Raw genomic sequence first — 24746 nt, 5'->3', positions numbered from 1 at the left:
AACCTGGCCAGGTGCAGTGGCTCACGACTGTCATCCCAGCACTTTAGGAGGCCGGGGCTGGTGGCTCACCTGAGGTCAGGAATTCAAGACCAGCCTGGTTAACATGGTGAAACTCTTTTTGGGGCTACAAAAAGTAAAAAATCAGCCAGGCGTGGTGGTGCATGCATGTAATCCCAGCTACTCAGGAGGCTGAGGCAGGAGAATCGCTTGAAGCAGGGAGACAGAGGTTGCAGTGAGCCGAGATCACGCCATTGCATTCCAGCCTGGATGACAGACTGCGAAAAGAAAAGAGGGGAGAGGGGAGAGGAAAGGAGAGGAGAGAGGGAAGGAGAGGAGAGAGGGAAGGAGAGGAGAGAGGGAAGGAGAGGAGAGAGGGAAGGAGAGGAGAGAGGGAAGGGGAGAGGGAAGGAGAGGGGAGAGGGAAGGAGAAGGAAGGGGAGGGGAGAGGGGAGAGGGAAGGGGAGGGGAGAGGGGAGAGGGAAGGAGAGGGGAGAGGGGAGAGGGGAGAGGGGAGAGGGGAGAGGGGAGAGGAGAGAGGGAAGGGGAGGGGAGAGGGGAGAGGGAAGGAGAGGGAAGGGGAGGGGAGAGGGGAGAGGGAAGGGGAGGGGAGAGGGGAGAGGGAAGGGGAGGGGTGAGGGGAGAGGGAAGGGGAGGGGTGAGGGGAGAGGGAAGGGGAGGGGAGAGGGGAGAGGGAGAGGGGAGAGGGGAGAGGGGAGAGGGGAGAGAGGAGAGAGGAGAGAGGAGAGGAGGGTCCCACCTACAGCCCCTGAGCGCCCACCTGTGGTCTGTCCGTTGCTTCAGACAATTCAGTGCCCAGAAATTTCTGGACAGCCACCTCTGCAGGCCAGACACCGCCAAGAACAACCGTTGTGCTGATTTTCTAAAATTTCCATCCTGCCCGCTGAGCCCCGGCGGGGCCCAAACCGCAAGCCTGTGCCTCCTGTGTCAGGGCAGCTGGCATCAGTTAGAGGTAATTTCTTGATTAGTCATGCGCGTTCCTCAGCAGTCCTGGCTGTCTGTCTTCCCCGGGGGCTGTCCGGTGGCCACAGGGCACAGACTCGAAATGGCAACAGATCTGGCTGCCAAGAGGCTGCTTGCTGGATCCCCAGACCACACAGGTACAGACACGAGGGTGGCCGGGTGAGGCCGCCACCGTAGGACTTTCAACAGCACGTGGTGTTTAAATGTGTGCGAGGCACTGCTGCCTACGTGGAGAGTTAAAGCAACAAATTCCAGCCCAGGTGTGTTGCTCACACCTGTAATCCCAATGCTTTGGGAGGCCGAGGCAGGAGGATTGCTTGAGGCCAGGAGTTTGAGACCAGCCTGGGCAACATAGCCAAACCCCATGTCTACAGAAAATAAAAATATTAGCTGGGCAGGGTGGCATGCACCTGCAGTCCCAGGTACTCAGGAGGATTGCTTGAGGCCAGGAGTTTGAGACCAGCCTGGGAAATGTAGCAAAACTGTGTATCTATAAAAAATAAAAATGTTAGCTGGGCACGGAGGTACTGTCACCTGTAGTCCCAGCTACTCAGGAGGCTGAGGCAGGAGGATTGCTTGAGGCCAGGAGTTTGAGACCAGCCTGGGAAACATAGCAAAACTCTGTATCTACAAAAAATAAAAATATTAGCTGGGCGTGGTTGTACTCTCACCTGTAGTCCCAACTACTCAGGAGGCTGAGGCAGGAGGATTGCTTGAGGCCAGGCGTTGGAGGCTGCAGTGAGTTACGTTTGCACTACTGCCCTCCAGCCTGGGCAACAAGGCAAGACCCCATATCTATAAAACAAACAAACAAAAGAACAATTCCAGGGCACCCCTGTTTCCAGCTCTGTCCACTTTACATTCTCAAAATAAAAGTAGTGTCCCTTTGACAGACACTTTTTCATCACCAGCTCATGGATAAAGCGTCTCTCCTTCCAGACGTCCCCCACGGCCACACCAAGCGGAACCCAAAGAAGGAAGGGTCTGCTTTTCCTCCTGAAGCCATAGGTGGCTGGAGGTGCCCAGCTGGCCGTGGGGAGCGGTGCTGACTCGTGCATAACTGTAGGTTTCACACCTGGGCACGGACCGGCGGGTCAGAAAACTTCTCCCTGAAACTGAAACGAAAACTCCGGGCCATTTTAAAGCCAGCTTGAGGAAGCTGTTTGTAGAGCAGTTGGTAAGAAGTCGCAGGTCTCCTCTGGAGGAAGAAAGAGCAGGGAGGAGCCGTGGGTTGACGCGGGTGTTAAAAGCTGGAAAGACTTTGGAGGCTGCGGGTTGGTCTCCTGGCACTCGGAGTGTGTGTTTTCTGCTGATAGACACTTTGTGGGTGGATGCCCCTGAGATGAGAGGACTCATACCCAGACTAATACTGCCAGGGTGTCAAGAATTCCCATTAAGACCACCCTGGGGGCTGACGGTGGCTTTGTGGTTTCCGTCCACGGGGGACACTGAGTCTTGAGGTTTGTATGACAATGCATTCAACCTGCCCAGGGGAGCCACAGCCCCACTGTGGATCATCTAAGAGTCTCAGCCTCTGACGTGGGCCGAGGTCTCCAATGACCTCCCTGATCCAAGGAAGGACGGGAGGGAGGGAGGGCGGGAAGGAAGGAAGGAAGGAAGGAAGGAGGGAAGAAGAGAAGGAAGGAGAGAGGAGGAAGGAAGAAGAAAGGGGAGAAGACAGGAAAGAAGAAAAGAATGACACAGGGTGAAGAAAGGAGGCAGAGAGGGAGGGAAGGAAGGAGGAGAGGGAAGGAGGAACTAAGGGAGGGAGGGAGGGAGGAGACAGCAGGCCCTGCTAAAGCATCTCCCCCGCCTTGGTCCCCGGGGAGCGGCGCTCAGGAGCCCTCCCGGCAGCCGCCTCTTTACCTGCGCCCCTGACCCGTACACCCTTCCCTCCTTCCCTTGCAGAGCCCGGGCGAGGACCCCTCCAGGATGCAGGTCCCGAACAGCACCGGCCCGGACAACGCGACGCTGCAGATGCTGCGGAACCCGGCGATCGCGGTGGCCCTGCCCGTGGTGTACTCGCTGGTGGCGGCGGTCAGCATCCCGGGCAACCTCTTCTCTCTGTGGGTGCTGTGCCGGCGCATGGGGCCCAGATCCCCGTCGGTCATCTTCATGATCAACCTGAGCGTCACGGACCTGATGCTGGCCAGCGTGTTGCCTTTCCAAATCTACTACCATTGCAACCGCCACCACTGGGTATTCGGGGTGCTGCTTTGCAACGTGGTGACCGTGGCCTTTTACGCAAACATGTATTCCAGCATCCTCACCATGACCTGTATCAGCGTGGAGCGCTTCCTGGGGGTCCTGTACCCGCTCAGCTCCAAGCGCTGGCGCCGCCGTCGTTACGCGGTGGCCGCGTGTGCAGGGACCTGGCTGCTGCTCCTGACCGCCCTGTCCCCGCTGGCGCGCACCGATCTCACCTACCCGGTGCACGCCCTGGGCATCATCACCTGCTTCGACGTCCTCAAGTGGACGATGCTCCCCAGCGTGGCCATGTGGGCCGTGTTCCTCTTCACCATCTTCATCCTGCTGTTCCTCATCCCGTTCGTGATCACCGTGGCTTGTTACACGGCCACCATCCTCAAGCTGTTGCGCACGGAGGAGGCGCACGGCCGGGAGCAGCGGAGGCGCGCGGTGGGCCTGGCCGCGGTGGTCTTGCTGGCCTTTGTCACCTGCTTCGCCCCCAACAACTTCGTGCTCCTGGCGCACATCGTGAGCCGCCTGTTCTACGGCAAGAGCTACTACCACGTGTACAAGCTCACGCTGTGTCTCAGCTGCCTCAACAACTGTCTGGACCCGTTTGTTTATTACTTTGCGTCCCGGGAATTCCAGCTGCGCCTGCGGGAATATTTGGGCTGCCGCCGGGTGCCCAGAGACACCCTGGACACGCGCCGCGAGAGCCTCTTCTCCGCCAGGACCACGTCCGTGCGCTCCGAGGCCGGTGCGCACCCTGAAGGGATGGAGGGAGCCACCAGGCCCGGCCTCCAGAGGCAGGAGAGTGTGTTCTGAGTCCCGGGGGCGCAGCTTGGAGAGCCGGGGGCGCAGCTTGGAGATCCAGGGGCGCATGGAGAGGCCACGGTGCCAGAGGTTCAGGGAGAACAGCTGCGTTGCTCCCAGGCACTGCAGAGGCCCGGTGGGGAAGGGTCTCCAGGCTTTATTCCTCCCAGGCACTGCAGAGGCACCGGTGAGGAAGGGTCTCCAGGCTTCACTCAGGGTAGAGAAACAAGCAAAGCCCAGCAGCGCACAGGGTGCTTGTTATCCTGCAGAGGGTGCCTCTGCCTCTCTGTGTCAGGGGACAGCTTGTGTCACCACGCCCGGCTAATTTTTGTATTTTTTTTAGTAGAGCTGGGCTGTCACCCCCGAGCTCCTTAGACACTCCTCACACCTGTCCATACCCGAGGGTGGATATTCAACCAGCCCCACCGCCTACCCGACTCGGTTTCTGGATATCCTCCGTGGGCGAACTGCGAGCCCCATTCCCAGCTCTTCTCCCTGCTGACATCGTCCCTTAGTTGTGGTTCTGGCCTTCTCCATTCTCCTCCAGGGGTTCTGGTCTCCGTAGCCCGGTGCACGCCGAAATTTCTGTTTATTTCACTCAGGGGCACTGTGGTTGCTGTGGTTGGAATTCTTCTTTCAGAGGAGCGCCTGGGGCTCCTGCAAGTCAGCTACTCTCCGTGCCCACTTCCCCCCACACACACACCCCACCCTGTTGCTGACCAAGGTGATTTTTGGCACATTTGTTCTGGCCTGGCTTGGTGGGACCCCACCCCTATTCTGCTTCTGTGAGTCCCTGATAGAGAAGGAGGTCCCATCAGGCCCCTGGAACACACTCAGGCTTCCCTGACTCAGGACAAGGACCACGGGAGGCCCAGGTGCGGAAAGGAGGCTCCGTGAGATGGGGTCCAGCCCATCCCAACACAAGGGTGCAGCTTGATTCGGGAGTTCCCCACCTCCTGCCCATTCTCCGCGTCCTTTTACCCCATGGAGAGCCTCAGCCATGGCAAGTCCATCTGGAGTCCAGGAAGCAGGCAACTGGCCTGACCCATGAGACCGTTTGGAGACCAAGCAGCAGATGCAGGTGTGGACCCCAGGAACCTACAGGGGTGTCAGCCGCTGAGCCCCCTCCCTGCTGTGTGGGTGGTGAGCAGGCTGGGTCTTTGTCTGTCTTCTTCTACACGGCATGTGCCTGCACCAGCCCCAACACCTGAGCTGGTTTAGCGCAAAGAAGAGCTCTGACTCTCCAGGGGTGCTGGGACATCACGTGGAATTGGATCCCAGGCTCTCTTGGGCGAGAAAGACCATTCTGGAGGTGGGAGTGGGAGAGCTGCCTGTCTGCCCACGGGCTCTGCGTCTCCGCAGTGGGTGGCCTTGGATGCCCGGCCCCTCCCTTTCTGTGCACTGGGGACGCTGATGGAGGCTGAAGCTGCTGTTCGGAGGCCCTCTATTGGTGCCTCTCTCCTGCCGTCATCACTATGGCAGGAAAACAGAGATGGTTTAGTAATGAATTATCATTCCCAAACCCGTGTCCACCTGGAACATCAGGATGGGACCATGTTTGAAAATCGGGTCTTTCCAAATGTAATTAAGTAAGGCGAGGCCATACTGCATTTACAATGGGCCCAATCCAGTGTCCCTATGAGAGACGGAAGAGGAGACACAGACACAAAGCAGGAGGCCACATAAAGACAGAGGCAGAGACTGAAGTGATGCTGCCCCAAGCCCAGGGATGCCTGGAGTCCCCAGGAGCTGGGAGAGGCAGGAAGGACCCTCCCCTAGAGTCTCTGGAGGGAACTGGATACAATTGCAGAGTGCACTAAACAGTTGCCCCAGAAAGACATGTCTTGTTTTAAAGCCCAGAACCTGAAATTATTATAGATTTTATTCGGTAATAAGGAACTTTGCATGTGTAATTACTTAAGGATATGAAGATGAGATTGTGCTGGATTATTAAGCACCCTAAATGCCATGACAGGTGTCCTTCCAAGAGACAGAAGAGGAGACACAGACACAGAGCAGGAGGACACGTGGAGACAGAGGCAGACTGGAGTGATGCGGCCACAAGCCCAGGGACACCTGGAGCCCCCAGGAGCTGGGAGAGGCAGGAAGGATCCTCCCCTAGAGCCTCCAGGGGGAACTGGAGGATGCGTAAGAGACCCAGAACTTCCACAGAAGGAGGAAAATTAACCTCCTGCTTCTCTAGACTGTTCCAAAGCTGAACCCTAGAAAGCAAAGCTGATACAGAAGCATCCAGGCTGCAGGAGTACAGGTCGCAAGTGCTGAGCGTGGGCCTTGGGTGTGTCTCATGGGGGAAAAAAAACTGTGAAAAACCTCAGAGTAGCATCTTCACAGTAACGCACGGACGATCCCTAAACTGCCTTGTAAACAAAAATGAGAGCTTGAGTCAGAGGAAGCCGAGACAATATCCTTCCTCGACAACGTGCGAGAACCCTGACGTCCCCCAGCAAAGGAAGACGTTGCAAGCAGGCAAAATGCGTCGATTTTTTTTTTTTGTCAGTATGATGATTTTTGCAGCCACTTGGCTATGGAGAGCAGCCGACACCCCCTCTTACAGCCGTGGATGTTTCCTGGAAGCTGACTCAGTCTGTTCACTGGTTGAGCTTTGAGTGAAAAGATAACACAGGTCTATTGACTCACACACATGTTTTAAGATGGAAAACTTTACTTCTGTTCTTGGCAGGACATGGAGAGAGGGAGGGATTCCAAAAAGTCTCAGCCTCCATCAAGGCGTGGCAGCTCATGCCGGTAATCTCAGCACTTTGGGAGGCTCAGGCGGGAGGACTGATTGAGTCCGGGTGTTCAAGGGCCAACCTAGGCAACACAGTGAGAACTCATCTCTGTAAAAAATAAAAATAAAACATTAAAAAAAAACATGAGCTTTGAAGTGCACAGGGCAAATGTGTTTCTGTCTCTGATTTCTGCAGGGCTTGCATTTTAAACACAGATCCCATTTTATGCTGGATCCAATGTCTTATCCTCTTCATAGGCTCCTTGTCTTGGTCCATTTATCCTGCTGGAAACAAACAAAAAACCAAACAAACAAAACACCATTGCATTACTCAGAGATCTCTAGAGGGACAGAACTAATAGGATAGATAGATAGATAGATAGACAGACAGATAGACAGACAGACAGACAGACAGATAGAAGATAGATTAGATAGATAGTAGATAGATTAGATAGATAGATAGATAGTAGATAGATTAGATAGTAGATAGATAGATGGATAGTAGATAGATTAGATAGATAGATAGTAGATAGATTAGATAGATAGTAGATAGATTAGATAGATAGGTAGATAGATAGTAGATAGATTAGATAGATAGATAGTAGATAGATTAGATAGGTAGATAGAGAGTGGATAGATTAGATAGTAGATAGATAGTAGATAGATTAGATAGATAGTAGATAGATTAGATAGATAGATAGTAGATAGATTAGATAGATAGGTAGATAGTAGATAGATTAGATAGATAGTAGATAGATTAGATAGATAGATTGACAGTAGATAGATTACATAGATAGATAGTAGATAGATCAGATAGATAGATCAGATAGATAGATTAGATAGATAGATAGATGATAGATCAGATAGTAGATATATTAGATAGATAGAGAGAGAGAGAGAGAGAGAGATTGAGAGAGAGAGAGAGGAGTTTCAGGCCAGGCACAGTGGCTCACACCTGTAATCCCAGCACTTTGGGAGGCCGAGGCAGGTGGATCACCTGAGGTCAGGAGTTCGAGACCAGCCTGACCAACATGGTGAAACCCCATCTCTACTGAAAATACAAAAATTAGCCGGGTGTGGTGGTGCATGCCTGTAATCCCAGCTACTCGGGAGGCTGAGGCAGGAGAATCGATTGAACCCGGGAGGTGGAGCTTGCAGTGAGCCGAGATCGCACCACTGCCCTCCAGCCTGGGTGACAGAGTGCAACTCAAAAATAAATAAATAAAAATAAATAAAGGGAAGTTTATTAAGTAAACTTCCTGGGTGACAGAGTGAATCTCAAAAATAAATAAATAAAAATAAATAAATAAATAAAGGGAAGTTGATTCAGTATTAACTCACATGATCATGAGGTCCCACAATAGGCCGTCTGCAGGCTGAGGAGCAAGGAGAACCCATCCCAGTCCCAAAACTGAAGAACTTGGAGTCAGATGTTCAAGGGCAGGAAGCATCCAGCATGGGAGAAAGATGGAGGCTGGGAAGCTAGGCCCGTCTCTCCTTTTCACATTTTTCTCCCTGCTTATATTCTAGCCTCGTTGGCAGCTGATTAGATGATGCCCACCCAGATTAAGGGGGGGGGGGTCTGCCTTTCCCAGTCCACTGACTCAAATGTTCATCTCCTTTGGCAACACCCTCACAGACACACCCAGGATCAATACTTTGTATCCTTCAATCCAATCACGTTGACTCTTGGTATTAACCATCGCAACCATCAACTGGGTGGCTCACAAACAATAGACATTGCTTGCCACAGTTCTAGAGGCTGGGGCCGGGTGTGGTGGCTCAAGCCTGTAATCTCAGCACTTTGGGAGGCTGAGGCAGGTGGATCACGAGGTCGGGAGTTCAAGACCAGCCTGGCCAACATGGTGAAACCTCGTCTCTACTAAAACCACAAAAATTAGCCGGGCATGGTGGCGGGCACCTGTAATCTCAGCTACTAGGGAGGCTGAGGCAGGAGGATTGCTTGAACCCAGGAGGCAGAGGTTGCAGTGAGCTGAGATCATGCCACTGCACTCCAGTCTGGGTGACAGAGCGAGACTCTGCCTCAAAAAAAAAAAAGACAAATGGATACATGATAGATGGATAGATAGGTACATACACAGGTAGATAGATGATAGATTGATAAATGGGTGATAAGAGATAGATAGATAGATAGATAGATAGATAGATAGATAGATGAATGATAGATGATAGATGGATAGATGAATATATAGATGATGGATAGATGGATAGATAGATGGATAACAGATTGATGATGGAAAGATAGACAGATGGATAGATAGATGGATAGAAGATAGATAGATAATAGATTGATGATGGAAAGATAGAAAGTTGGGTAGATGGATAGAAGATGATAGATAGATAGATGATAGACAGATGATAGATGGATAGTTATACAGATGATAGATAGATGGATACATAGATAAACAGAATGGATGGATAGATAGATAACAGATGATAGCTAGATAGATGATCGGTAGATAATGGATACACAGATGGATAATACATACATAGACAACATAAGGAGGGGATAAATGATAGATGAGATAGATAGGTAGATAAATAGATAGATGATAGGTAGGTAGAATAGATAGATGATAAATGGGTAGATTGATAGATGATATATCTAATGATAGATGATAGATACATAGATGATAGATTGATAGATGATAGACAGATGAATGATAGATAAATGATAATACTAAATACATAGATGGATAGATTGATAGATGATAGACATACAAATGATAGATACATAGATACATAGATGGATAGATAGATATATAGATAGATGATAGACACATACATACATACATACAGATGGATAGATACATACATAGATGATAGACACATACATACATACATACATAGATGATAGATACATACATAGATGGATACATAGGTGATAGATACATACATACATAGATGGATACATAGACGATAGATAGACAGATACATACATAGATAGATGGATAGATAGATGATAGACACATACATAGATAGATGGATAGATAGATGATAGATACATAGATACATAGATAGATGGATAGATAGATGATAGATACATGCATAGGTGGATAGATAGATGATAGATACATACATACATAGATAGATGGATAGATAGATGATAGACAGATACATACATATATACACAGATGGATAGATAGATGACAGATAGATACTTACATAGACAAATAGATGATAGACAGACACATACATACATAGATGGCTAGATAGACAGATGATAGATACATACATAGATAGATGATAGACAGATACATCCATACATAGATAGATGGATAGATACATAGGTAGGTGATAGATAGGCAGATATATACATACATACATAGATGGATACATAGATAGATGATAGATACATAGATAGATAGATAGATAGATAGATAGATAGATAGATGATAGATACCTACATACATAGATAGATGGATAGCTACATAGATAGATGATAGATACATACATAGATAGATAGATGGATGATAGGTAGATGATAGATTGATAGATGATAAATTAATATATAGATGATGGATAAATGGATAGATGGATAACAGATTGATGATGGAAAGATAGATGGATAGAAGATAGATAGATAATAGATTGATGATGGAAAGATAGAAAGATGGGTAGATGGATAGAAGATAGATAGATAGATGATAGTTAGATAGATAGATAATAGATGGATAGTTATACAGATGATAGATGGATACATAGATAAACAGAATGGATGGATAGATAGATAATAGATGATAGCTAGATAGATGATAGGTAGATAACGGATACACAGATGGATAATAAATACATAGACAACATAAGGAGGGGATAAATGATAGATGAGATAGGTAGGTAGATACAATAGATAGATGATAGGTAGGTAGAATAGATAGAAAGATAGATGATAGATGGGTAGATTGATAGATGATATATCTAATGATAGATGATAGATACATAGATGATAGATTGATAAATGATAGATAGACAGATGAATGATAGATAAATGATAATACATAGATACATAGATGGATAGATTGATAGATGATAGACAAATGATAGATGCATAGATGGATAGATTGATAGATGATAGACAAATGATAGATACATAGATGGATAGATAGATAGATAGATAGATAGATAGATAGATAGATAGATGATAGACAGATACATACAAACATACAGATGGATAGATACATGGATAGATGATAGACAGATACATACACACATAGATGGATAGATAGATAGATGATAGATAGACATACATACATACATAGATGGATACATAGATAGATGATAGATACATACATACATAGATGGATAGATAGATACATACATACATAGATAGATGGATAGATAGATGATAGATGCATACATAGATAGGTGGATAGATAGATGATAGATACATACATAGATGGATAGATAGATGATAGGTAGACAGATACATACATAGACGGATAGATAGATGATAGACAGACACATACATAGATAGATAGATGGATAGATAGATTGATAGATGATAGACAGATACATACATAGATGGATAGATTGATAGATGATAGACAGATACATACATAGATAGATAGATGGATAGACAGATGATAGACAGATACATACATACATACATAGAGGGATAGATACATAGATGATAGATTGACAGATACATACATACATAGACAGATGGATAGATACATAGATTGATAGATGATAGACAGACACATACATACATACATAGAGGGATAGATACATAGATGATAGTTTGACAGATACATACATACATAGACAGATGGATAGATACATAGATTGATAGATGATAGACACATACATACATACATAGAGGGATAGATACATAGATGATAGATTGACAGATACATACATACATAGACAGATGGATAGATACATAGATTGATAGATGATAGATACATACATACATAGATGGATAGATAGATGATAGATACATACATACATACATACATAGATGGATAGATAGATACATACATACATACATAGATGGATAGAGAGATACATAGATATTATGGCTAAATAGATGGAAGAGTGATAGATACATAGACAAGATAGATGGATACATGACAGATGAATAGCTGGATAAATGATGGATAACATGGATACATAGATAGATGATAGACAAACCCTCTCATGCTGACTCAGGGTTCCCCCACCTCAGCACAGCTGACATTTGGGGCTGGAGGACTCTCTGTGGTGGGGCCATCCTGGGCACTGTACGGTGCTGAGCAGAGACCCTGGGCTCCACCCACCAGATGGGAGCAGCACCCCTGCACTGCACGCACACCTCCAGACGTGATGGCCAAAAATATCTTCAGACATTGCCAGGTGTCTCCTGGACGGTAGGATCTCCTCAGTTGCTGGCAACTGAATTACACAAAACCCACACACATGCACACATTTGAGAATCTTTGAACCTCCAACCATGCAATGCTGGCTCAATGCAAAACAGAACATTAAGGATGGAAGCCCAGCCTGGTGGGACGGGGTGTATGAGTTTGCTGGGGTTGCCATAGCAAAGTCCTGTACGCTGTACAGCTTAGACAACAGACATCGATTCTTCCACAGTCCTGGAGGCTGGAGGTCTGAGGTCAAGGTGTGGGCAAGGCTGGCTCCTCCTGAGGCCTCTCTCCTGGGCTTGGAGACGCTGTCTTCTCCCTGTGTCCTCACAGGGTCGTCCCTCCATGTGTGTCTGTGTCTTCAGCTCCTCTTCTCCTCTTCTTATCAGATGTCTTAGTCCATTGCAGGCTGCTATCACAGAATACCATAGACTGGGTTGCTTATTAACGACAGGCATTGGTCGGGCACGGTGGCTCACACCTGTAATCCCAGTACTTTGGGAGGCCGAGGTGGGTAGATCATGAGGTCAGGAGATCGAGACCATCCTGGCTAACATGGTGAAACCCTGTCTCTACTAAAAAATAGAAAAATAAATTAGCCGGGCGCGGTGGCGGGTGCCTGTAGTCCCAGCTACTTGGGAGGCTGAGGCAGGAGAATGGCATGAACCCAGGAGGCAGAGCTTGCAGTGAGCCCAGATCGCGCCACTGCACTACAGCCTGGGTGACACAGCGAGACTCCATCTCAAAAACAAACAAACAAAACAAAACAAAACAAACAAACAAACAAAAAACAGGCATTGGCTGGGCACAGTGGCTCATGCCTGTAATTCCAGCATTTTGGGAGGCTGAAGTGGGCGGATCACCTGAGGTCGGGAGTTCAAGACCAGCCTGGCAAACATGGAGAAACCCCATCTCTACTAAAAAATACAAAAAATTAGCCAGGTGTGGTGGCGGTCCCAGATACTCGGGAGGCTGAGGCAGGAAAGCCACTTGAACCTGAGAGGTGGAGGTTGCAGTGAGCCAAGATCGTGCCACTGTACTCCAGTCTGGGCGACAGAGCAAGAGTCAGTCTAAAAAAAAAAAAAAAAAGCAAAGAAAAATCTGAAAGTCACGGAAGGGCACATTGAGAGCAGGAGGAGGCTGCAGTAGTCAGGGCTCCAGAGCAGTTAAACCTCTGCCTGCTGGGGTTTCAATGATGTGGCCGTAATGGAGAACTTATAGGGATAAATACAGGCATGTTAAAGGCTGCTGGACCCCATCTCTGGTTAGCACTCCTTCTGGAATGCTGGTATGGGGGACTGAGTTGATTCGTGCCTCCCCATAGATATGTCCACCTGGTGAATGGCACCTTATTTGGAAATAGGGTCCTCACATGTGCAATTAGTTCATGATTTCAAGATATCATGCTGGATTAAGGTGGACCCTAAGTCCAATGACAGGTGTCCTTGTAAGAGACAGAAGAGGAGACACAGACACAGAGGAGAAGGCCACGTGGAGATGGAGGCAGAGACTGCAGTGATGCGGCCACAAGCCCAGGGATGCCTGGAGCCCCCAGGAGCTGGAAGAGGCAGGAAGCACCCTCCCCTAGAGCCTCCAGAAGGAAGCAAACACAATTGCAATGGTTTAGATGGTGAGCTCCAAACCATATGTCCATGTCCTAAGCCCCAGAGCCTGGGAATGGGACCTCATTTGGAAAAAGGATCTTTGCAGATATGATTAACAATCTGGAGATGAGATCATCCTGGAGAAGGACGGGCCCTAAACACAATGACAGGTGTCCTTGTAAGAGACAGAAGAGGAGACACAGACACAGAGAAACCCACGTAGAGACGGAGGCAGAGACTAGAGTGATGCGGCCACAAGCCCAGGGATGCCTGGAGCCCCCAGGAGCGGGAGAGGCAGGAAGGACCCTCCCCTAGAGCCTTCGGAGGGAGCGTGGCCCTGCCTATTCCTTGATTTCAGATGTCTGGGCTCCAGAGCTGTAATACAATTAAGTTTTGCTGTTTTAAGCCCCAGGGTTTTGAGTGACAGTTACCAGCAACCCCCACTGTAGGTCACTAAACCCTCCAGCTTTGCCTGTACCCGTGTAGGAAGAGGCAGCCTTCACTTCATCTTCTATAGAGAATTACTGTAATTTCCTTTGCTATTTTTCTTTATGTTTAATATCTCACCCGCAGCTGGGCCCGGTGGCTCACACCTGTAATCCCAGCACTTTGGGAGGCTGAGTCGGGTGGATCACCTGAGGTCAGGACTTCGAGACCAGCCTGGCCAACACAGCGAAACCCCATCTCTATTAAAAGTACAAAAATTAGCTCGATGTGATGGCAGGTGCCTGTAATCCTAGCTACTCAGGAGGCTGAGGCAGGAGAATCGCTTGAACCTGGGAGGCGGAGGTTGCAGTGAGCCGAGATTGCACCATTGCACTCCAGCCTGGGCGACACAGTGAGACTCGGTCTCAAAAAACAAAGAAAGAAACAAACAGAAAAGAAAGAAACAAACAAACAAAAACCTTCACCTGCATGGAGTTTATGTTATATGCAGTACAGTTTATAAACTTATGATTCCTTCTATCGCTTCAAAACGAAGAAAGTTACTTCTCCAAAATTCTGAAATGTGAATCTATGTGCTTTTTAAAATTTTTTTTCAAAAACTCACAATATTGAAAATCAGACATCACATGGTTTAGATGCTTTTTTCCTCTCTTTTATTTGGCTCTTCTGTGACTTCTCTGACTACAGTTTTTCGTTTTCTCCGTAATGTGTTGGACACCCTCGGATGTCATTCCACAGTTAACAAAATTAACTGTAGGATTCCATTTTCTGCATCTACACATCACTGGCATAGGCTCTGGGTATATTATTATTTTTGACATTTTATTTTAAAATCTTTTGAGTCACAAAGGCTGGGGAAACAGTGCCCGGAGTCTCCACGCCACGCTGGGTTTATGTGGAGCAGGTGCGGCTGGGCTCTGGGGTTTAAGAAAAATCCTCGCACAGCTCACGCGCGCCCCCTGCAGCCTGCGGCGCGCAAGGGACCCGCTGCCCTGGAGGTGGGCTCCGTTTAGGGAGGGAAGGCACAGCCGGGCGTCCCCCACCTCACAGCGCCCGCCCTGGTCCCATCCCTGCGCCCCCAGCACCGCGCCCCCAGGGGGTCCCCACGCCGCGCCCATCACCACGCCCGCGCGGATCCCCAGTGTCCACGCCCCTCCCACAAGGACCCCCACCTTCTCCACGCCCCTCCCACCAGGCACGCGGGGACCCCCCCCCCACCCATCTCCCCGCCCTTCCCACCCGGCCCGCGGGGACCCCCATATCCATACCCCTCCGAGCATTCTCGCGGGGACCCTCATCTCCAAACCCCTCCCACCATCCCCGCGGGGATCCCCATCTCCACGCCCCTCCCACCAGGCCCGTGGACACCCCCATCTCCACGCCCCTCCCACCAGGCCCGTGGACACCCCCATCTCCACGCCCCTCCCACCAGGCCCGTGGACACCCCCATCTCCACGCCCCTCCCACCAGGCCCGTGGACACCCCCATCTCCACGCCCCTCCCACCAGGCCCGTGGACACCCCCATCTCCACGCCCCTCCCACCAGGCCCGTGGACACCCCCATCTCCACTCCCCTCCCACCAGGCACGAGGACATCCCCATCCCCACGCCACTCGCACCGGGTCCGCGGGGAACCCCCTATCTCTACCTTCCCCGACGCGGCTCCCACAAGACCCCCATCTCTGCGCCGGGCCCCTCCACGTGCGGGTAAGAACCCCCCACCCCCACAACTGCCCACAACCGCAGCTGCGGAAACCCAGCATTTCCACTCCCCACGCCGCGCCTGCAAGGAACCCCAAGTATCCACGCCAGCCTTTCCTCCCCGGGACCCCGCAGCTGCCTGCGCCATTGCAGGTCTTGGCGCCGCAGGCGGGGTGGGGAGGGGCGGGGCGAGCGCCGGGGGCGGGGACGGGGCCCGGGAGGCGGAGCTGGGGGCGGTGCTTCACCAAGCGGCCGGGGCGGTGCCCGGGGGGGAGGCGGGCGGGGGTGTGGCCTGGGCGTGGCCTCACGGGGAGCTCAATGGCGGCGTGGCATGGGCGTGGCCTGGCGGAGAGGGCAAGGAGGTGTGGCCTGGGCGTGGCCTGGCGGAGCGGTCAATGGCGGCGTGACATGGGCGTGGCCTGGCGGAGAGGGCAATGGAGGTGTGGCCTGGGCGTGGCCTGACGGAGAGGGCAATGGAGGCGTGGTCTGGGCGTGGTCTCAGGGGAGATCAATGGGGCGTGACATGGGCGTGGCCTGGTGGAGAGGGCAATGGAGGTGTGGCCTGGGCGAGGCCTGACGGAGTGTTCAATGGAGGCGTGGCCTGGGCGCGGTCTCGCGGGGAGGCCACTGAAGGCGCGGACTGGGCGTGGCCTCGCGGAGGCGGGCGGGGGCGTGGCCTCGCGGAGGCGGGACTCTGGCCGCCTGTTTTTTTTGCAGCCGCGCTGCGCGCACCGCGGGCTCCGGGCTCAGAAGTGCGGACGCCCGGCTCCCGGCGTGGACGCCATGGTGCTGTGCCCGGTGATTGGGAAGCTGCTGCACAAGCGCGTGGTGCTGGCCAGCGCCTCCCCACGCCGTCAGGAGATCCTCAGCAACGCGGTACGGCCTGGGCCTGGGCGGGGCAGGGGACCGGGGACGGAGGGGCTGAACCCCGGAGGGCCCAGCGACTCAGGAACTCTAGGGATAGGGATGGGAGAGTGACCCGAGACCCTTAGGGATGGGGGAGGGGAGAGTGTCCCGGGACCTCCAGGGATAGGGTTGGGGAGAGTGACCCGGAACCTCTAGGGATGGGGGAGGGGAGAGTAACCCGGAACCCCCTAGGCATGGGGGTGGGGAGTGACCTGGGTCCCCATAGGGATGGGGGAGGGGATCGTAACCCGGGACCCCTAGGAATGGGGAGGGTAGAGTGACCCAGGACCGCTAGGGATGGGGACAGCAGAGTGACCCCGGAGCCCCATGGATGGGGATGAGGAGAGTAACCCGGGACCCCCAGGCATGGGGATGGGGAGAGTAACCCGGGACCTCCAGGGTTGGGGATGGGGAGAGTAAGCCGAGACCCCCCCTAGGGATGGGGGTGGGGGAGTAACCCGGGACCCCTAGGGATGGGGGAGAGGAGAGTAACCCGGGACCCCCAGGCATGGGGATGGGGAGAGTAAGCCGAGACCCCCAGGAATGGGGTTGGGGAGAATAACCCGGGACCCCTAGGGATGGGGTTGGGGAGAGTGACCCAGGACCCCCTAGGGATGGGGGAGGGGAGAGTAACCCGGGACCCCCCTAGGGGTGGGGGAGGGGAGAGAAACCCGGGACACCTTAGGGATGGGGTTGGAGAGAGTAACCTGTAACCTGGGACCCCCTAGCGATGGGGGTGGGGAGAGTAACCCAGGACGCCCTAGGCATGTGGTTGGGGAGAGTGACCCGGGACCCCCTAGGGATGGGGAGGGAGGAGTGACCCAGGACCGCTAGGGATGGGGACAGCAGAGTGACCCCGGAGCCCCATGGATGGGGATGGGGAGAGTAACCCGGGACCCCCAGGCATGGGGATGGGGAGAGTAACCCGGGACCTCCAGGGTTGGGGATAGGGAGAGTAAGCCGAGACCCCCCTAGGGATGGGGGTGGGGAGAGTAACCCGGGACCCCTAGGGATGGGGGAGAGGAGAGTAACCCGGGACCCCTAGGAATGGGGAGGTCAAGTGACCCGGGACCCCCCTAGGGATGGGGGTGGGGAGAGTGACCCGAAACCCCTAGGCATGGGGTTGCAGGGAGTGACCCAGAACCCCCTAGGAATGGGGATGGGAGAGTAACCTGGGACCCCCTAGGGATGGGGGAGGGGAGAGTAAGCCGGGATCCCCCTAGGGATGGGGGTAGGGAGAGTAACCCGGGACCCAAAAGGATGAGGGAGGGGAGAGTGACCTGGAACCCCTAGGCATGGGGTTGGGGAGAGTGACCCAGGACCCCCTAGGGATGGGGGAGGGAAGGGTGACCCGGGACCCCCAAGGAATGGGGAGGGGAGAGTGACCCAGGACCACCTAGGGATGGGGAAGGGGAGAGTAACCCAGGACCCCCTAGGGATGGGGGTGGGGAGAGTAACCCAGGACGCCCTAGGCATGGGGTTGGGGAGAGTGACCTGGGACCCCCTTAGGGATGGGGAGGGAGGAGTGTCCCAGGACCCCCTAGGGATGGGGAGGGAGGAGTGTCCCAGGACCCCCTAGGAATGGGGAGGGGAGAGTGATCCAGGACCGCCTAGGGATGGGGGAGGGGAGAGTGATCCGGAATCCCTAGGTATGGGGGAGGGGAGAGTGACCCAGGACCCCCTAGGAATGGAGAAAGCAGAGTGACCCGGGACCCCTAGGGATGGGGGAGGGGAGAATAACCCAGGACCCCTAGGGATGGGGGAGGGGAGAGTGAGCCAGGACCCCCTAGGAATGGGGAGGGCAGAGTGACCCGGGACCCATAGGGATGGGGGAGGGCAGAGTGACCCGGGACCCCTAGGGATGGGGGAGGGGAGAGTGATCCAGTACCGCCTAGGGATGTGGGTGGGGAAAGTAACCTGGGACCCCTAGGGTTGGGGGAGGGGAGAGTAACCCGGGAACCCTAGGGATGGGGGAGGGGAGAGTAACCCAGAACCCCTAGGGATGGGGTTGGGGAGTGTGACCCGGAACCCCCTAGGGATGGGGGAGGGGAGAGTGACCCAGAACCCCTAGGGATGGGGGAGGGGAGAGTGACCCAGAACCCCTAGGGATGGGGGAGGGGAGAGTGACCCAGAGCCCCTAGGGATGGGGGAGGGGAGAGTGACCCAGGATGCCCTAGTGATGGGGGAGGGGAGTGTGATCCAGGACCTCCTAGGGATAAGGGAGGGGAGAGTAATCCAAGACCCCTAGGAATGGGGGAGGGGAGAGTAACCCGGGACCCCCTAGGGGTGGGGGAGGGGAGTGACCTGGGACCCCTAGGGATTGGGGAGGTGAGTGACTCAGGACTTCTAGGGATGGAGTGGGCCCTGTGACTGATGGTTGGACTTTGTAGCTGGGGTATGGGAAGTGTTTCCTGGTGCCCCCATGAGGATCTTATTCCGGGTGGTAGGACGCCTAGGTAGTGGGTGTCTGCCTCTCTCTGGAGCCCTAATCACATGGAGGAGACGGTCTAGTGATGAAGGGATAGTTACTTGTGATGGGGGGTAGTTACTGGTGACAGGCGGATAGTTATAGGTGATGTGGGATAGTTACTGGTAATGGGGTGATAGTTACTGGTGATGGGATAGTTACTGGTGATGGGGGCATAGTTACTGGTGATGGAAGGATAGTTACTGGTGATGGGGGATAGTTACTGGTGATGGGAGATAGTTACTGGTGATGGGGCGTAGTTACCGGTGATGAGGGATAGTTACTGGTGATGATGGGGCATATTTACTGGTGGTGGGGGTTAGTTACTGGTGATGGTGGGATAGTTACTGGGTTTGATGATGGGGCATAGTTATTGGTGATGGGGGTAGTTACTGGTGATGTGGGGATAGTTACTGGTGATGGGAGGATAGTTACTGTTGATGGGAGATAGTTACTGGTGATGGGGGGATAGTTACTGGTGATGATGGGGCATAGTTACTGGTGATGGGGGATAGTTACTGGTGATGGTGGATAGTTACTGGTGATGGGGGGTAGTTACTGGGTTTGATGATGGGGCATAGTTACTGGTGATGGGGGGTAGTTACTGGTGATGTGAGGTAGTTACTGGTGATGGCAGAGAAGTTACTGGTGATGGTAGGGTAGTTACTGGTTGCCTATGGATGGTGCAGTGGGGCAGGAGTCTACTCTTGGGGACTACGGACTGGAGGTCTGGTACCCTGGGAGGGGGGACACCACATGCCTGGTCCTAGTGACGGGGATGAGAGTGGTCAGGGTGCCTCACAGAAGGCATGGGTCTCCATGATTGGGGGTGACAGGGCATAGGGCAGGGGTCTATATGATCTGGGGTTGAGATCTGCAGGGCAGGTCCAGGGCTTGGTGACTGGTGCCCTGAAGACCAGGATGGGCGTCAGGGCCAGGATCTGGGGGCACCTTCAAGAGGTGAGGAGCGCTGAGGAGTGTAGAAGAGTGGAAGAAAGACGAAAAAAGAAAAGCAGCTTCACAGTCAAAGACGGGTTTATTTTGGAGAACAAGCCTGAGCGGGGCTTCTGGCTGAGTTAGGTCAGGAGTGTTCTCTCTTACAGACTAAGGGTATTTAAGGGTTTAGGAAGGGGAATCTTATCGCAGGCTCGGAATGTTTCCCTGTGAGGCAAAGTTGACTGAGGTGTTAGAATGTCTCTGGTCTGAAGGAGGTTATCTTGGGCTTGGGATGTTTCTGGTCAGAGGCGGTTTATTTCAGGCTTTGACTGTTTCTGGTCATGCTGACATTAGCCATTAGGCTGATGTTTTGGGGCTGGTTTTAGGCAGTTTTTAATCACGGGAACTTAAAATGGCAATGCTTGTCCAAGATGGCGGTGTGTGTCCAAGATGGTGGTGTGTGTCAAAGATGACCATGCATGTCCAAGATGGCAGTGCTTGTCCAAGATGGTGGTGCTTATCCAAGATGGCGGTGTGTGTCCAAGATGGTGGTGCTTATCCAAGATGGTGGTGTGTGTCCCAGATGGTGTGTGTCCAAGATGGTGGTGCTTCTCCAAGATGGCAGTGTGTGTCCAAGATGGTGTGTCTCCAAGATGGTGGTGCTTATCCAAGATGGCGGTGTGTGTCCAAGATGGTGGTGCTTATCCAAGATGGCCGTGTGTGTCCAAGATGGTGTGTGTCCAAGATGGTGGTGCTTATCCAAGATGGCAGTGTGTGTCCAAGATGGCGGCATGTGTCCAAGATGGTGGTGCTTATCCAAGATGGCAGTGTGTGTCCAAGATGTTGTGTGTCCAAGATGGTGGTGCTTTTCCAAGATGGTGGTGTGTATCCAAGATGGTGGCGTGTCCAAGATGGCGGTGTGTCCAAGATGGTGGTGCTTGTCCAAGATGGTGTTATGGGTCCAAGATGGCAGTGTGTGTCCCAGATGGTGTGTGTCCAAGATGGTGGTGCTTATCCAAGATGGCGGTGTGTGTCCAAGATGTTGTGTGTCCAAGATGGTGGTGCTTATCCAAGATGGCAGTGTGTGTCCAAGATGGTGTGTGTCCAAGATGGTGGTGCTTATCCAAGATGGCGGTGTGTGTCCAAGATGGTGGTGCTTATCCAAGATGGCGGTGTGTGTCCAAGATGGTGTGTGTCCAAGATGGTGGTGCTTATCCAAGATGGCTGTGTGTGTCCAAGATGGTGTGTGTCCAAGATGGTGGTTCTTATCCAAGATGGCGGTGTGTGTCCAAGATGGTGTGTGTCCAAGATGGTGGTTCTTATCCAAGATGGCGGTGTGTGTCCAAGATGGTGGTGCTTTTCCAAGATGGTGTTGTGTATCCAAGATGGCGGTGTGTCCAAGATGGCGGTGCTTGTCCAAGATGGTGTTATGGGTCCAAGATGGCAGTGTGTGTCCCAGATGGTGTGTGTCCAAGATGGTAGTGCTTATCCAAGATAGCTGTGTGTGTCCAAGATGGTGGTGCTTATCCAAGATGGCGGTGTGTGTCCAAGATGGTGGTGTGTGTCAAAGATGGCCATGCATGTCCAAGATGGCAGTGCTTGTCCAAGATGGTGTGTGTCCAAGATGGTGGTGCTTCTCCAAGATGGCGGTGTGTGTCCAAGATGGTGTGTCTCCAAGATGGTGGTGCTTATCCAAGATGGCGGTGTGTGTCCAAGATGGTGTGTCTCCAAGATGGTGGTGCTTATCCAAGATGGCCGTGTGTGTCCAAGATGGTGTGTGTCCAAGATGGTGGTGCTTCTCCCAGATGGCGGTGTGTGTCCAAGATGGTGGTGCTTCTCCAACATGGCCGTGTGTGTCCAAGATGGTGTGTGTCCAAGATGGTGGTGCTTATCCAAGATGGCAGTGTGTGTCCAAGATGGTGGTGCTTCTCCAAGATGGCCATGTGTGTCCAAGATGTTGTGTGTCCAAGATGGTGGTGCTTATCCAAGATGGCGGTGTGTGTCCAAGATGGTGTAATGGGTCCAAGATGGCAGTGTGTGTCGAAGATGGCAATGCTCCTGCTCTGTGAATCCAGACCCTCTAGTTATAACAGGACGAGGGGTGGTGTGTTCTTTCTGGCCACTTCCTGCTGAGGGAGGTGGTTATTACGGGTCACCAAACACAGCCCTGGAGGGGAAGAGGTTGATTTGTTCCTGGTAGCACTCTTTAGGGGCCTTCCAAGCAGCACCCGTTGAAACATCTAGCTTTTAGTTCACAGGGCTTTAAGAAAGCAGAACTTGGGTTTCAGAGGTTTTCAGTTAGGAAAAATTGGAGAAAAAGAAAAAGGAAAAGAATGCAAAACATTATCTTGGAGACATGTAGCCAGAAAAATTAGAATTTAATTCAAACCGTAGAAAAGAATAAAAACTGAAAACCATTAGGCAAGACTAGAATTTCACGACAGGGGTAACTATAGTTTTTCAAACACGATTTTTCTTTTTCCAGTTTTCCCACTTTTATTAAAAGACAAATTATGGGCTGGGCATGGTGGCTCATGCCTGTAATCCCAGCAGTTTGGGAGGCCGAGGTTGGCGGATCACGAGGTCAGGAGATCGAGACCATCCTGGCTAACATGGTGAAACCCCGTCTCTACTAAAATTACAAAAAATTAGCCGGGCGTGGTGGCGGGCGCCTGCAGTCCCAGCTACTTGGGAGGCTGAGGCAGGAGAATCGCTTGAACCTGGGAGGCAGAGGTTGCAGTGAACCGAGATGGCACCACTGCACTCCAGCCTGGGCGACAGAGCAAGACTCCGTCTCAAAAAAAAAAAAAAAAATGTCATGAGATGTAGGGACCAGCCCCACAGGGTCAGTGGATCTCTCCCTGTGTGCGGAGGCATGAGAGTGTAGAAATAAAGACACAAGACAAAGAGATAAAAGAAAAGGCAGCTGGGCCCGGGGGACCACTACCACCAAGACGCGGAGACTGGTGGTGGTCCCGAATGCCAGGCTGCGCTGATATTTATTGGATACAAGACAAAGGAGCAGGGTAAGGAGTGTGAGCCATCTCCAATGATAGGTAAGGTCACGTGAGTCACGTGTCCACTGGACAGGGGGCCCTTCCCTGCCTGGCCGCCGAGGCAGAGAGAGAGAGGAGAAGGAGAGAAACAGCTTACGCCATTATTTCTGCTTATCAGACACTTTTAGTACTTTCACTAATTTGCTCCTGCTAACTAAAGGCAGAGCCAGGTGTACAGGATGGAACATGAAGGCGGACTAGGAGCGTGTGACCACTGAAGCAAAGCACCACAGGGAGAGGGTTAGGCCTCCGGATAACTGCGGGCGGGTCTGACTGATGTCAGGTCCTCCACAGGAGGTGGAGGAGCAGAGTCTTCTCTAAACCCCCCCAGGGAAAGGGAGACTCCCTTTGGTGACCCCGTCTGGGCATAACAGAAGGCTCGCGCTCGTCTTCTGGTCGCACCTCACCATGTCCCCTCAGCTCCTATCTCTGTATGGCCTGGCTTTTCCTACATTATGATTCTAGAGCAAGGATTATTATAAGATTGGTATAAAGAGTAATTACTACCAACTAATGATTAATGATATTCATATATAACCATATCTAAGATCTATATCTGGTATAACTTTCTCGTTTTATATTTTATCATATACCGGAAGAGCTCGTGTCCTCGGTCTCTTGCCTCAGCACCTGGGTGTCTTGCCGCCCACAATGAGAGGTGCAACTTGACATAGGGAGGGTAGAAGATAGCCTGAGTATAGGGAACCTCTTGCCATTTCCTGGTGATAAAGTTGTCAAGGTCCCTGAGAATTTGCAAGTTAAAGGTGCTATGTTCGGGCCATCTGCTGTCATTATGTAGTTTGTATTGATGCCAGACTATTGCAATAAAAAATTCAACACTCTGGCTTTAGGTTCCTCTGTAAGCCAAGTTTGGCCAGGTTGGAAAGGAGACATCCCAGAGAGGAGGACATAGGAATGTCGGGTTGTTTGGCACCCACGTGGGCTGGTAAAAGGAAGCCGAGAGTGTCTGTTTGTGTTTTAGGCAACCCCAGACAAAAGACAGAGACCCAGAATCCTCTTTATAAGGAGGACGGCCAAGCTGAGAAGATACTGGGCATCCCTCAAGATCGCTTCTAGCTTAGTGCCGCTGGTCCTCCGAGGACTGGGATGGCCGACCTGACTTTTCCTGGGTACCAAAAGTCAGAGGAGGGCAGATCTTACCAGACGGCTGGATTTGTGTCTGATGTTGGATGTTCCTGTTGGAATTGGCAAAGGGGCTCCCAAACTGGAGCCGCGCAGGGAAGACAGAGAGAGAGAGAGAAGAGGGAAGAAGACGGACGAAGAGAGAGGAAGACGAAGCAAGGGTTAGGGAGCGAAATACCTGTTGCAGGGGGTCAGAGGTGGATTTCTGAGACCTGAGGGTTTTGAGAACCCTCCAGCTTGAGCCTCTAAGTCCCCTTTACATGAGTTGTCTTCCTCACACAAATTGCTTGGAAGGTGAATGGAGAGAAAAGATGGGAGGGGTGGCCAGAGACCCTCACGATCCAGGAGTTAGCCCAGGATGAGCTGCTGCTGCCCACAGCTTCCTGGGTT

The 24746-nt window shown here is 51.9% G+C and overlaps 2 protein-coding genes across 12 annotated transcripts in view, besides 1 other annotated feature; both read left to right on the top strand.

Moving 5' to 3' along the window:
* P2RY8 (P2Y receptor family member 8) overlaps window positions 1-6891 on the top strand; it is a 74605-nt gene extending 67714 nt beyond the window's left edge. For 6 of the 9 annotated variants that reach the window (NM_178129.5, NM_001424187.1, NM_001424190.1 and 3 more), the window contains one exon: window positions 2890-6891. In NM_178129.5, the coding sequence (NP_835230.1) occupies window positions 2914-3993 (1080 nt within the window). In that variant the 5' untranslated portion in view covers window positions 2890-2913 and the 3' untranslated portion in view covers window positions 3994-6891. Of the gene's footprint in view, window positions 1-801; window positions 971-2253; window positions 2442-2889 lie in introns of those variants that run through there. The other 3 variants (NM_001424186.1, NM_001424188.1, XM_005274429.4) reach the window with 2 other exon arrangements.
* Window positions 2476-2976: an enhancer, noted in NCBI's record as "H3K4me1 hESC enhancer chrX:1585389-1585889 (GRCh37/hg19 assembly coordinates)". NCBI's record gives its function as "activates a minimal SCP1, AML or CMV promoter by ChIP-STARR-seq in naive H9 embryonic stem cells {active_cell/tissue: H9 hESC(naive)}" and the evidence as "EXISTENCE:reporter gene assay evidence [ECO:0000049][PMID:30033119]".
* ASMTL (acetylserotonin O-methyltransferase like) overlaps window positions 15716-24746 on the top strand; it is a 50618-nt gene continuing 41587 nt past the window's right edge. For 2 of the 3 annotated variants that reach the window (NM_001173474.2, NM_004192.4), the window contains exon 1: window positions 16563-16724. In NM_001173474.2, coding sequence (NP_001166945.1) covers window positions 16632-16724 — 93 coding nt within the window. In that variant the 5' untranslated portion in view covers window positions 16563-16631. Of the gene's footprint in view, window positions 15855-16562; window positions 16725-24746 lie in introns of those variants that run through there. The other variant, NM_001173473.2, reaches the window with a different exon arrangement.

This window comes from Homo sapiens, chromosome X (genome assembly GCF_000001405.40).
Source record: "Homo sapiens chromosome X, GRCh38.p14 Primary Assembly".
NCBI lineage: Eukaryota > Metazoa > Chordata > Mammalia > Primates > Hominidae > Homo > Homo sapiens.
Note: the sequence above shows the minus strand (reverse complement) of the source record. Positions and strands in the feature narration are given on the sequence as shown.